Here is a 15,048-nt window from a genome sequence, read left to right as displayed (position 1 = left end):
AAAGTTAAATAGTTTCTATAGCTAAGGGCTACAAAGATGGATAGGACAGGTCTAGATATTTTAATCTGAAACAACACATTATTAGCAGTTTGGAGACCATAATTCCATTTGCAATAATTCCATCAAAGTCCTCACTTGTAAAGAAAATGGAAAAAAATTGTGACTAAGTATAAAACTGTTAAAAGTTGCATGTTCTTTTAACTGCATATTTTTTCATTGATGTTAATGAAACATGTAGATAAAACAATATTCAATATTTTAAAATTTATAAATCATATGTTAAATATAGGTGGATTGTATTTTTATTTAACCGGTTTCACTGTAGACAAGATAATCTTTCAAAGAAGAGCCCAATTCAATTACTTGTGGAACAAGAATCTATTTTATAGTTATATTACACAGGCTTCTAAGAGAAGATATTAATTCAGGAGTATTACATAGTGAATATTGAGGATACAATGACACTTTCTTATTTAACATAAAAGTTTATGTATTAATTGACTGCAGATTAAATACATTACTTTAGCGCATTACAGTAGAATTATATAGGCACTTAATTTTTCATAGAATATTAACAGAGAAAATAAATCACCAGGCTGTACCTAATCTGTTTCCATTTTTTCTTTAGTAATTAACATACATATATGTATACATAAATTGAATTCTGATATATAAGCATAAAGATTTATTCTTAATTTGTGATGCTCTTTTGTTATGAACATTTGTAGTCAATCTTCCAAAATTAATTCATAGTATTTTGAGCTTAATATTTAAACCTGATATGCATTTTCTTGTTCACTTGATCTTTATATTATCATTGTTTTATGGGGCTGTGGAGGTTATCACCTAGCAACTGAAAGCAAGAACCTCTGTTTAAGATGCATTTGGATTTGTGATTCAGCACTGTTGTTTTATAGATTAGTTGTTTTATATATAGATCTGTTGTTTTATATATTAGATTATATATAAATCCACAGCATTTCTCATCAATTTATGTAAATTTTAATTGAATGATGAAATTACATTAATAACTAAAACTTGCAAAAACACCATTGGAAACTGATAAAGGGTATCACTTTTGTATGGTAAGGGTACAAATCTTCAGGCAGGGAAGAGGCAGGGAAGAGGCCTTCCAATGTACTTAAAGGGTGACCATATAATTTATCACCCAAGTTTAAATACTTGTGAAATTAAAGAGAGCATAACTATGACTGGCTAAGACAAACTAAGATCTATGGTTGCTCTATCTAGATGGTATCTGACTAGCTGTTGTGTTTGGATATTTTGGACGACAGTTCATATGTTTTACACAAAGAATAGAGGTTTTGATTAATCCAGGTAGTCAATTAATTGTAGGTTAAAATAACTTTCACTGTAACTTTATGTTTGTACAACATACTAATAGTTTGCATTTATTGAGCTTGCATTGTAGGAGAGACAAGTTAAATACTTACATGCATGGCCTCATTAAATTATCACATGTTTATGGAATAGATTATTTTTATTTCTATTTCACAGATGAAACTGAAACTTAGGAAGTAATCTTTGTAAAATGTGGTAAATCCTGTCTATTTTACTACATGCCAGACCCTGTGCTAAATACTTCTGTGCATTGCCTCATTTAATCCTTCTAATTACCCTAAAATAGATAGTTTTTTAAACCTCGACTTCACAGATGAGAGTAAATATGTTGCTGAATGTTATATAGCTAATGAGTTTCATAGACCAGCTCTAAAACAATATCTGTCAGACAAAAAGTCTATCCCTCAATTATTAGGCATTTTTTTTTTCCATAACTGATATCCATTGCCATGAAATGTATGATTCTGTCACTTGGGGGCAGTTAAGAGCTTGAGAAGAAAGGAAGGGTACAGTACTGGGGGCCAAAGGGTTTCATTTGAAACACATAAGCCTGTGTCATATCGAGATTCTTCTGCCTGAAGATGCTTTTTGGAAAGGTTCTTTGAATCAGTTTCCAGATCACTGGGGTGAGGAGGCAGCTTTCCTCCAGCCTGTGCTCATGTTCTCAGGCCTGGCCTCTCCAGCCTGTGCCTATGCTTTGCATTTTCAGGCTCTACAGTACTGTGTACTCACAGATAGGAATCTGTAAATTAACTAGCAGTGTAGGCCTGGAATTCTCCCAAATTTGGTTGAATGAGATTAATGTGGATGAGGGAATTAAGATCATGAGCATAAAAAATGGTAATTTTCTTGACTGATAAAGGTCACGACTCTCAAAATAGTGAAAACACTGAGAAAGATTAATCAGAAAATGTATCCTGTCTTTACAAGATTATTAGAGGTTTAAACATTGCTGAAATGGCCAAGCATAGGAATAATTGCTTATAAGATTGCTAAGAGCATCAACAGATATTTCTCTGCTTATCTAAAACGATAGCCAAAGCATGTATAAATCAAAGCCTCTAGAATGTTATCTTGACTAACTGGAAGAGGTAGCATGTACTAATGCTAAGGTGAGTGATTAGAGATAGGTATCCTCATCATAACTGCTTTCAATGAGTTCTGAGGCCCTAACAAATTCACATCATACCCCATATCCAATGCTACCTTTAATACAAGGAGGCAACTGTGAACCACATTTGGCTTATAGGAACAGTGTAAAGATAAAATGGTTTAATATTTTTGAAATTTCTATCTTTATGGAATTTCTCATATAGAGTTATCATTAATTGTTTATGTATCTTTCTTCTGAAGCTCTAAGTTCCATAAAGACAAGGACTAAGAAAGTATAATTCAATTTTGCATCCTCAGTACCTAACAGAGAACTTGGTACATAGAAAATATTTGATGATTTATTTTTTGTTGAATAACTACATGAATAAAATGAAGTGAGTCAAAAAGTGCTTTTGAATTTACAAACATTGTAAAAATATGTCATAGCTATTCAACTCCAGTTTCCTAGTTGAGTCAACTACCAAAGAAACCCTCTTAACTCAGAATGTAACATAGAAGATGTATACAATGCTGTCCTGCTTAATGTCAGAAATTTCAAATGTTCACTTTTCCTTCATTTTCTTGAACTATGTCTCTGTATTTATATATGACTTAAGATAAATATGTGTGTGTATATATATATATATATATTTTTTTTTTTTTTTTTTTTTTGCCAAATGAACTTGCTTTTTATGGGACTACATTCTACTGGCTTGAAGGTGAACTAAAAATATCTCTTATCCCTGAAGCCTGGTGCTGACTCATGGAGCGTGTCTACTACATGACCAAATGTAGGTTGAGAACAAATTAGAAACATCTGACTTATTCACATGCATTTTAGTATTTCAAGAGGAGACACACGAAGAAGGTAAAATATAGCAAGCAAATTAACATACAAAACTGCATTTTATTTTTTATCTTAGTTAAATTTGTCTGATAATTCTTTTGTTATGCATGTTCTTGCACCTTAGCCAAAACTGCACATTGGCAAATAACAGGGACTACAGATGGCTCAACAGCCAGGAACCATTTGTGGTTGAACAAATTTGGCACACTGTCTTGTCTTCTAATAACCAGACTTCTGACCTATTGACCCCTCCCTGATTCTTCCCTCCACAAACCAAGGAAAGCCCTTCCAAGTGGTTTTTAGAGCTAAGTAGTAGCTTCTTGAATTTTGGTATAGAGAAACTTTAGAGTCATCATTAGTGTTTCCTACATTTTAAATATTTCCTAGAATATGAATAGAGCATACTATAGTATGAGTGAAAACATATTTATCTAGAAAAGCTGAATTACATTAAAATTGTCAGTTTTAGAACTGACAAGGGCATAGGTCCGACTTTCACCTTCAGCAGAAAAAAAAGTGTACTGAGAAATATTTAAAGGGTGGGAAATCAGGTCTTTTGTATATTAACATAATGTATTTTCATCACTACCATTGCATTAATGACACAGCTCTAAAGTCATCTTTAATTACCTAATTTTCTTGTTCTTTATATTTTGAGAAATGAGTCGTTATTTGGAAGGTTACTAGGAAAGTAAACATAATCAGTTAAATGGTGTGTGTCTCTGGAAGTACTATTGTGAAAGAATGAAGTAAAGGCCTATAAGTAGAGGCCAACAACACCCTAGAGCATCTATTTTCCATTTGAGAAATAACTATTTAAATATATTCATTCATTGAAGATATGTGTGACCTAAGAGAATTAATGGAGCTTTCAAATATGTCAGCCCGCCTATAGCAGTTAAGAGCAAAGGCTCTGATGTTAGATTCATGGTTCTGCCGCTTCCTAATTGTAGGAGACTTAAGTGATGCTCTCATTCATAAAATGGGGCCTACAACATAGTTTTGTAAACATTAAATGAAATAATCAATATAAAATGCATAGCATAGTACCTGGTCCACAGTATATGCTCAGCAAGTGACAGCTACTGTTGCCATTATTATAATTCTCCCCCTCTTCCTCTTCCCCCATTCTCTTCTTCCTTTTCAAAGTAATGGTAGTGATGATAATAGTAGTGGTGGAAGGTGAATAATAGAAAGGATGCTCTGATACAAGATATGTAACATAAGATAATCAAGATGAAGAGGTTACTGGTAATAATATGAAATCCACTAATTTAGACATGAAATACAATTGCAAGAACTAATCTGACAGCTAAACCTCTTGGTAACAAGCAGCTCAAGGGCTACTGCATAAAGCCTAACAAGTTCTCAGGAATCTGATTTTCTGTATATAGCAGAATGATGCTTAATCAATTAAAAAATACTAGAAATAGGATGATGTCCTTTTTTTTGTGAATTCCTATGGCATTTGGGGGAATTTTAAGTCCTTTACTGATTTGCATTTTTAACTGATCTCTTTGGATAGATAGATGGATTATAATCTATATTTACATATAGATTATAAATATATATATAAAATCTATAATACTATAGATAATGCTACAGGGGAGCTGACATATTTGAAAAGCTCCATTAACTCTCTTAGAGCATACATATCTTCAATGAATATGCTTAAATAGTTATTTCTTAAATGGTATATAAATGTTCTAGGTGTCTGTAGTCCTTTATCTAAAGGCCATTACTTCAGTCTTTCACAACAGTACTCCCAGAGATATTGTATTAGTCTGTTGTCATGATGCTGATAAAGACATACCTGAGACTGGGCTATTTACAAAAGAAAGAGGTTTCATTGGACTTAAAGTTCCACATGTTTGGGGAGACCTCAGAATCATGGCAGGAGGTGAAAGGCACTTCTTACATGGTGGTGGCAAGAGAAAAATGAGGAAGAAACAAAAGCAGAAACCCCTGATAAACTCATCAGATCTCATGAGACTTATTCACTATCACGAGAATAGCACCAGAAAGACTGACCCCCATGATTCAATTACCTCCCCCTGGTCCCTCCTGCAACACGTGGGAATTCTGGGGGATACAATTCAAGTTGAGATTTGGGTGGGGACACAGCCAAACCATACTGGACACATAATAGTATATCTATCTATCTATCTATCTATCTATCTATCTATCTATCTATCATCTATCTATCTATCTATCTAATCTATCTATCTATCATCATCATCTATCTATCTATCTATATCTATCATCAACTAGATTATGAGCCTCCAGAGAACAAGATTTTTATTTTATACCGATAGAGGAGATGGTCCTTAGATACTTTTGGGATAAATTAATTTCCTTGACCTCCACATTTTTCAACTTTCTTTTTGAACACACTTGAAGTAGTTTAATTCTAGAATACTTCAAGAGGAGTATAAGGCTCTCAAATCAAAAATTAAACAGAAGATTCTAATTAAGATGATGTATCCAATTTAGAAACATCAGTGCTTTCACAATCCACTTCATAGAAGAATATAGAACAGAGGGTATAAAACTACTGTATGTATTCCTTGAGTTTATTGAAAGTTATTTTCTTTTACTTATCTTGATATTTATGAGTTTTTACTAATTATTGTATAGTACATTTCTTTATAAAGGAGTAAGAAAACTTCAGAAATCATGTATTTATTATAAAATATCTTTCTAAAGGATTAAAATGTTGAGTTAAACACTTTATTCTGAGTTACAAATATGGCAATTCATTTGAGTTGCCAATTTCCTGATTTATTTTAAAGGATAATAATTCTACTATCTTGCTTATATAAACTATAGATTTTATGATATCATCAGATTCTCTATTCAAATATCTCTGTTAATGTTGATGGAAAATTATTTGTAGCCCAATTTTATGTGAAGAAACTAAGATGGAGATTTTTAGTAAACATTTTAAGGATTGACGCCTGGTAACTGGCAGAACTGGGACTGAGACTCTTATTTTCATGTTTTCTAATGTGTTATTCTCTTTTGGCTTTAATATGCACCCCCATTGGTTTCATCAAATTCACTGCTAAATAACTACATTCTTAATCAGTTAAATGCACATGGGATAGTTGTTTCCAAGAGTTTTTATGTAAATCTGGAAAGTTTTAAATATGTTATCAATTCCTTACCAATACAATTAACGAACTAATTAGATTATTATTAGAGAAGACTAATGGGGTTTTAATATTTTCTTCCTGTTATGAATTAAAATAGCAAACAGAAAACAGCAGTAGTAATGTTATTGGTACAATTATGGTGATCTTTATTTTTTGTATTTTAAAGTACTTTTTTTAACAAAATATTAAATATTTATTTTAGAAAATTTGGAAATAACAGATAAAAGAAAATAATTTTAATTCTTACTAACTATAATTTCTTAAATTTTTTGTATATATATTCATATTTATATCTCTTTACATATAAATATGCATTCTATCTCCACTGATATATTTCTATTACTCTGTATAGATGCCTCTATCTCTATTTTAAATCTCCAAGTTTACCAGTATAGGGATATCTGTCTTTGTTTTTCTCAATCTGTCTCCAGTTCTATCTCTATCTGTACAGACTTATTTCTGTCTCTATAGGTATCTCCATCTCTAGATGCAAAAATGAAATGTATGCTATCTTTATGTAAACATAAAAATCATCCTTAATATTTTTGTAACCTTATTGTTTTCATTCAGTTTGTGAACTTATTTTCATATCATTAAATATTTTTCGAGAAAATAATTTTATTTGGTTACAAAGTAGTTTAGCATATTTATGCATCATTATTTACCTAAATTATTCTTTTTTCCCTGGGTATTGAGGTTACTTCCATATTTTTACTGTGAAAAGCAGCACTGCAGTGGACATTTTTATAGCTAACTTTTTCAACATTATCCATGATTAAATGTTGTAGGCAAAAAAAAAAAAAAAAAATCTCGTGGGTGACTTTGTAGAACAATTTCTGAATCAAATAGAATTTACATTTTCAAGATTTTAGGGTCATATTACTAAATTAATCTTCTGACAACCAGAATAACAAACATCTTTGAATTTTATCAACACCAATTCATATATGCATTTGATTAACAGCAAATGTCAGGTGCAGAAATCTCACTTGACACTGTCATTCTATAATTTTAAGTAAAATTATTATTACCTTTATTGTTATTATTATTACTTCATGAATTTTATAGATAACTCCAATCCCTTCTTATACATCTTTAATTTCCAGGATTTAAAACTTCCTAAGTTAATTTGTTATTCCTCAAAATTGGAGTACTTTGTGTTTCTATAGCACTAGCACTTCTAAAAGTTGTCAGCAAACAGTGCTTTAATTGATATTCACAACATCCCTGTGAGATAATAGTAAGAAATACGTACTATTGTGCCTCTTTTGCACATCTTGAGTAAACTTAGCAGAAAGGCAACTTGTTCAAGCTTAGACAGAAATTGTTTCTCAAGAGATTGTATGCATACAAGTAGGAAACTGGAATCATCTTTTAGTTCTATAAGATAATCATTTTGAAGACTCTTGGTATGAGTTGAAACCAGAAGAAAGGCTCTTGTAGATTTGGTACAGTTTAGGTGTCTAGGTAACAATCAGTTGTACCACAAAATGTCTACTAATATGGGTGATGCTTGTTTTCTAAACGTAGCAGATGTTCATCACGCTTTTTAATTTCTGTGTGTTTCCTTTGAAGCATTTATGACTTTTTTTCTGAGGTACAAAAAGTTAGTATATTTTTCTTCTATTTTCAAATTATTACATAAGTATGACTCTATTATCTGGAATGGACATTTTTATTGCTAACATTTTCCAGGGTAGCTGAGAAAATTTATTACAAGAAGTGAATCAGGCTGTTTGCTGATAAAATATTTAGCAAACTATACCCAGCAACCAAATTATTATGCTAAGAGCTGTAAATCCGTAGAACAAAAGTATTTTGAAGTTGGTCAAGTGAGCCTCAGATCTTTTATTATACTTTATTGTGTTTATACAGCTAGTCTTCAGCCACAAGGGCATCAAAGGCAAAAAAAAAAAAAAAAATGAATGTTTAAATAGTAGCAGTTCAGAAAAAAAAAAGAATGGCAGTGTTAAATTGTGCCTCCACTTTATACTACTACGAACATATTGATATATACAAAATCCAAATTGCTAGGAATTCAATGTGACAAAATTAACTGAGTATTACAATTTTTTGATGTGCCAGAGCCCTGATATATAAACTTTTATTTAGAATGGGATTTGGTTCAGTTTGAATAATGTTCCAAGAAGTTGAAAGGTTATTGGGAAAAAAATTGCTAAAGAAACATCTCTAATATGTTAGATGAATACTGAGGATATAGTTAGTGTATAGCGTTACAGGAAGGCTATAGTACATAAATTACAGGAAATAGTAATGCATTCTGAAAATTGTAAATTTTATCCTCGGCTAGCATATATTACTATTTCCAGAAGGAATCTGTGATGAGAAGATTAAGAAGCCATAATTAGTTTCCATCAATCTCTGTCAATAAATATATGGGAATTCTGATACATGTTGAGCACTGCATTATGTACTGAGGGCTATGCTGTCATAGAGTGGTCATATAAAAACTCGAATGACTATCTAACAATTAAATCTAGTATAGGCATATCCCATCACGGCACATGCACATGTGAATGTGTGGTGGGCGGAGGGGGAGAGAGAGAATGACGTGGAAAGAAAATGTGTGCTAAGTGACTGGCACACTGCTAAAAAATAGAGAAAGATTCTGTATGCTAAAGGGGCCAGATTCAGTGCAGAACTGTCCTTTGAGTTAATCCCTGAAGGACAATAACATCTTGAAAATAGGTCTGCTACTTGTCATTTGGTACAATTCCAGCCCACTTCAGCCTTTTCGCTACAGAGACATTATTTTTTGCACATTCAATAATGCTTTGTTGTTTCTTTTGTAAATTAAATCTCTGGTGTTGCACTGAACTCTATGTTCCCTTTATGCATGGCTAGTTGGTTTATACCAAGAGATGACTTGAATAGTTTCCTGGAGATGGTTTTTTTTTTCTCCTTCTTTTTATACTTTTTCTAAGTTATCACTTCTGGAGGAGCTTATGCACGAATGTGGAAACACATTCTCTTTCACATATTTAAAACAAAACAGTTTCTAATCCTCAAACTTGATGTAAAAATGCTACAAAGAGAGGATTATTTGAGCAGTGCACCTATTTCTCTTAGCAAGTTATTTTAATTACTTTTCTACATTTGTGATTAAAAAATATTTCCAATGAAATTCTTAGTATGGAAAAATGATTTATTGCCAACAGCACTGATCATGAGATTGAGCCAGAAAACAGGAAGAAAAAAGACAATATATTTTGAAGTTAAAAAAATAAAATTTTTCTGTAATATTAAACTGGGTGGAAGAAAGTCTTCACTGAAAGACCAGAACAATCATAGAGCAAGTCTTCTTCCCCCTCAGTCACTGCCAGATTCAACATCGAAGGTATTCCTTTTTATTCTCACTTCTGATGAAATGTGGGAAGGACTCAGAGACATTAACAGGGAATCACATTGTTCTCCCAAAAGGATAATATCCATGAAGATAATGTTTTGGTACCAAAGAGACATGCTATCTTTTTTGTCTATGTCCAAAATGCCAAAGTGTATGTCTCAGAAAATTATCGTAGCTTTTGATTATTTGGTTATTTTATATTGAGAAACCCTAATTAAGAGCTAAAAACTCCAGCTCGCAATTTGGTTGCTTAGATATATCCAAGGTTTTGGTATCCAGTAACTGAGTTTTTGTTTTATTTTACCTTAGAATTCTGGCCTTTTGTAGAGACTGTTCATATTCATGATGTCTGATAAGATTTAACTTGTGGGCAGTTATGATGATCAAACAGTACATAAGCATATATGCACACAATGAAACGTATTTACATTTAAAATACACAAATATACTAGCAAATGAATTCAGACTCCATTTATCCATTTGCTCATTCATGTAGTCAACAAAATGTGCCAATTACAATTAAAAATTACATTCTTAATGTCTTAAGATCTTAGATTGTTTTTCACAGCTGAACTTTTTTCTGTTGAAATTGAAATTTTACATGTAGTCTCTATATCCAGTGGTGGAGGAAACTTCATCTCCTATGGAAGGTCACTGGAGAATTTCTGGGAACTCTAGGGCATTTGGGGATGTGTTCTTATGAAAGATCAAAGGTTCCTCTTTCTTCATGCTTAACAATTCTCCTCAATGGAGGAAGAACATACCATAAATAGGGTTTACCATATTTTCATGTTCTCTTACTAATAACACCACAAAATTTTCTTCTAAGATGCATACCCCATTTGGTAGTATCTTCTAAAATCTAAGTTAAAACAAGCAATTCTACTTCTTCTGACCCCCTAAATTGTTTTAAACTTTTCATAATAAACTATGAAGCTTTTGTGTTTTAATATTTATTTATTTGACTGAAGTAAAGAAATGTACTTTAAATAATTCTCTCTGTCCTTACCTTAAAGTCAGGTACAGCTAGAATCTGAAGGAATTTATCCTACCGTAATTAAAGTATTCTTGAGTTATCCCCAAGTTAGTTAATTTGATGTCTTCAAAGAACATCTTAAGTGACAAAACACTGAAACTTTAATAGAGCAAGAATGTAGATTACATTAAAAGTATATTCACAACACCTTCAAGTCATTTATTTTCCTTCTCAAATTCACTCTCGTTGTTAATCTGGAAGCAGACCAACTTGATTGGAATCTCAGTTCTACCACCTATTATCTATGTGCCCTTAAGCAAGTTAAGATCTCTGTGCTTCCTCTTCATTGATAAGATGAAGAAAAGAGTAGTAGACACTAAATAGGGTTTCTGTAAAAATGAAATGAGTTCATACATGTACACAGCTTAGAACAGTACTATTTGTATAGTAAGGCCTCCCTATAAATGTTGACTATTATGATGGAGAAGACATAATACTGAAGGAAAGAGCTATTCTATTCAACAACTCTTTCTTTATTCTCTACTCCTGTACTACATTTCCTTGACAGTCATTATAATTACAGAAGATGGACTTACATGAAAATATCAAACTGAATGTTGAAACACATGAGTTTGAGGAAAGGTGGAAGTTAAACTACTTTATAAAGATGTATCCTGAAACCCTGAGTCATAACACAGTGCCGTCCCACCGGGGCTGGTCTCCTAGTACCACTCTGGTCTTCTGTCACCTTGAAGAAACACACACAGCATTTTTTTCAGTTTTCATTTGGACCTTCTCTTTGCACTTATTTATAGTTATGGTGTCTTTTGACCAATATTTCTAATTCATATTATAAACAAGGTACCCAGGAAAAGCTGAATATATTTTATTTTATTAAAAATATTCACACGATAATGGAGGTATAAGAGTAATAACACAAAGCACAAAAACAAATGACAAAAGAATATATCCCGAGAATTTGAGTCCTGAGGTAGAAAGGGAAATGTGACAATAATAACTATGGATTTCCTGGTAGAACTCAGAATGACTAAATATGTAATATTTAGGGTTTTTTTTCAATACCACTCTCCTTTTGGGATGCCTGTATACCATGTGTTTCTACTTCTAAACTTTCTCTTCCTCTTCCTTTCTTGTCAGAGTTACTAGACAAAGTGAGAATGAACTCATTTGCCCCTTAACTGTATCTCTGTATAACATACATTGGAGGTTTTACGCTATCGTAACTTAGGTGTTCTAACAAAGGACATTACTCACTGAATAGGTCCTACATTGCTTAGGTCTCTCTTCTAAGATTCTTATGGTCATCAAGTTTATTTTAAGATAATGGACAGATCTATAGCTACAAATAAAGGTATATCTTGGAGTCCTTTAGAAGAGAGAAAAATTTTGCCCTTTCAAGTTATCCTGGACCAAATAAATAATTAAAAATGAGTAATGCCAAGAAATGATTTGTATCAGATACTTTACCTTGTTTTTCTCAATTATGGTTTTGAGGAACTGTGAAATATCCCATTAGGAAACAAACCAAAATTTGCACAGACAGCCTGTGAAGTTATATTACTGAAATGACCATGTGTGGAACGTAATTATTGTATGAGTCATTCAGAACCATAAAAATAGGAGTTTATTAAATTTTATAAAATTGACTGGATTTTAATGAGGTTTTCCAGATAGAAGTGGTTGTATTCTTATTTAAGTAATAATGCCAAAAGTGATTTTTCCCCCAGAAAATGCTCATACAACTCTAGCACTGGCAATGCTAGTCCTCGTGGTGTACATGAGGACTAAACTTAATGAAATTATCTTGTATTAGGGAATATTGTTAAATAAATAGATTTTAGTTGCTCTTGTTCCCTCAAAAAGCAACTATGTGAGATGTTGAATATGTTAATCTGCTTTACTGTAGTAACCATTGATTAGCTGTATGAATCCCATAACATAATGTTTTAAACTGGAAATACACACAATAAGATTTTTTAGAAAACAAACAACAAATAATCTACTACTAAAAGTTGCTGAAACTAAAATTTTTGTAAGTTGACTGTTTTCTCCATTGACTAGATTACATTTAGAAATATTTTCAACCAGAAAAGATGTTCCCAAACTTTATTAACACCCAATTAATAATTCTTATAAAATATTTGTATAGATAGAGATAGATATATTTAACTGAAAACCAAGATACTGAAAGTAACATTTAGCAAGGCAACAACTTGCCTGCAGAAAATACAGTAGTGTGTATTGGGGCTATTGAAATAAATACGTATCAAGAATCTAATATTCTAGAGGAGAATCATAAGTAAAGCATCTTATTGACAATACCTAATAATAATGGTACTATTTATTATAAAGACATGTAAGTTGATTGAAAACTGACTATATAAAGAGGTTCTGAGGCCAGGCGCGGTGGCTCACGCCTGTAATCCCAGCACTTTGGGAGGCCGAGGCGGGCGGATCACGAGGTCAGGAAATCGAGACCATCCTGGCTAACATGGTGAAAACCTATCTCTACTAAAAATAAAAAAAATTAGCCGGGCGTGGTAGCGGGCGCCTCTAGTCCCAGCTACTCTGGAGGCTGAGGCAGGAGAATGGCGTGAACCCGCGAGGCGGAGCTTGCAGTGAGTCGAGATCGCGCTACTGCATGGGCGACAAAGCGAGACTCAGTCTCAGAAAATAAATAAATTAATTAATTAAATAAAATAATAAAATAAAATAAAGATGTTCTGGCACTGTTCAAGAACAAATTCTGGCATAAGTTATACATTTTGATATTCTTAAGTCTGCTGTAAGTTAGTAGAACTCAAAATGTTTAAATGAGTACCAGGCCTTCTATTTGTGTGGCTTTCATAAAATTACTCTGGTATTCTTTTCGGTTTGTTTGTAAGCGTGTGTGTGTGTGTGTGTGTGTGTGTGTGTGTGTGTGTGTGTATGTAACATTAATAAGGCATTAAGCCAAGATATGTATACAACATTTCCATTTGAAAAATCTTTGGACCAATAGTTTGATCATTAGGAGACTTTACCATTGTTTTTGTAGTTCAGAATAGGTCATTTGCCAAATTAAACAGAAGTATTATCTTTCTTAAGGCAGGTGGAGATAGGAATTTATGAATTTATTCAGGTCCATTCTAAAGGAGGCATTGTAAAACAATATCTTGAAAAGATCCTACACCTTCTTTCCAGATACACTTATTGAGTAGCTACCATGAGTAATGATGTATAGTTTCTTTTATTTAGAGGAGGAATACAGCTATGATTGCATTTATTTATAAACTATTAAGTCAGAAGGTTCAATACTTAAGTCCAAGGTTCTAAGATTCTAGAAAAAAATAATATGACCATGTCATCTGCCTTCTACGCAACCCCCACAGATTCAAGAATAACTATGTAATTATCTTCTCAAGGGGCTTCCACTAATTCGTTTTCAATCATCAGATTAGAAGGTAACATGCTGTAGCAATGTTATTTATATATATATATGTGTATATATATATATATATATATATATGTATATATATATTTCTCTCCTGAGAATTGGATTTAATATTTGGAGACATTCAACTTTTCCCCAAAGTAGTAAGGAGATTATTCAGCTCCTTAAGGGGTATTTTTTTTCTGAAGGGATAATGCAAAAAGGAATCATGGCATCTCTTGATTGGAGTAAAATGTAACCATCAACATTGGCCTGGTGGGATCTGAGTTATGATAAATGGATAAAACAAGATTAAGTTTTTTAAAAATGATGATGTATAGCTATTTCACATTTTAATAGAATTCTGAAATATAGATTTGACCCCATCACTTTCTTGCACAGACTTCCAATATTGTTTTTAAGGATAAAGTTCACGGTCTACAGGTTAACATTGAGGTTTTTAAATTATTTTTGTCTAATTTTTCTAGACTCACATTCCTCTACTTCTCCACATGAAACTTTCATCTGATAATGCAACACATCTTGCTGTTTCATATTTCTGTCCCTTTTCCACTTTCTTTATTCCGGGAAAACTTTCGTACTTCTATAATCTGAAGTTTGATTCAAGTAAGCTCTTCCTCCCGTTTAGTTAGATAAGCCTCTTTCTGTGTTTTCATAGGCACATTGTGTTTCTCTAACACAACACTTATTACACTGTTATAGCATTCACTTACTTGCCTCTCTTGTCCAGCACTTCAGGTGTTTTTGAGGCAAGGGAATAAGTTAGATTCATCTTTGCCATCTCAGTATCATATA

General features: G+C 32.4%; 1 protein-coding gene across 27 annotated transcripts in view; it reads left to right on the top strand.

The window, feature by feature from the left end:
- Positions 1-15,048, top strand: part of KCNC2 (potassium voltage-gated channel subfamily C member 2) — a 169,762-nt gene that overhangs the window by 120,053 nt on the left and 34,661 nt on the right. The window lies entirely within an intron of this gene.

The sequence above is a fragment of the Homo sapiens genome, chromosome 12 (genome assembly GCF_000001405.40).
Source record: "Homo sapiens chromosome 12, GRCh38.p14 Primary Assembly".
NCBI lineage: Eukaryota > Metazoa > Chordata > Mammalia > Primates > Hominidae > Homo > Homo sapiens.
Note: the sequence above shows the minus strand (reverse complement) of the source record. Positions and strands in the feature narration are given on the sequence as shown.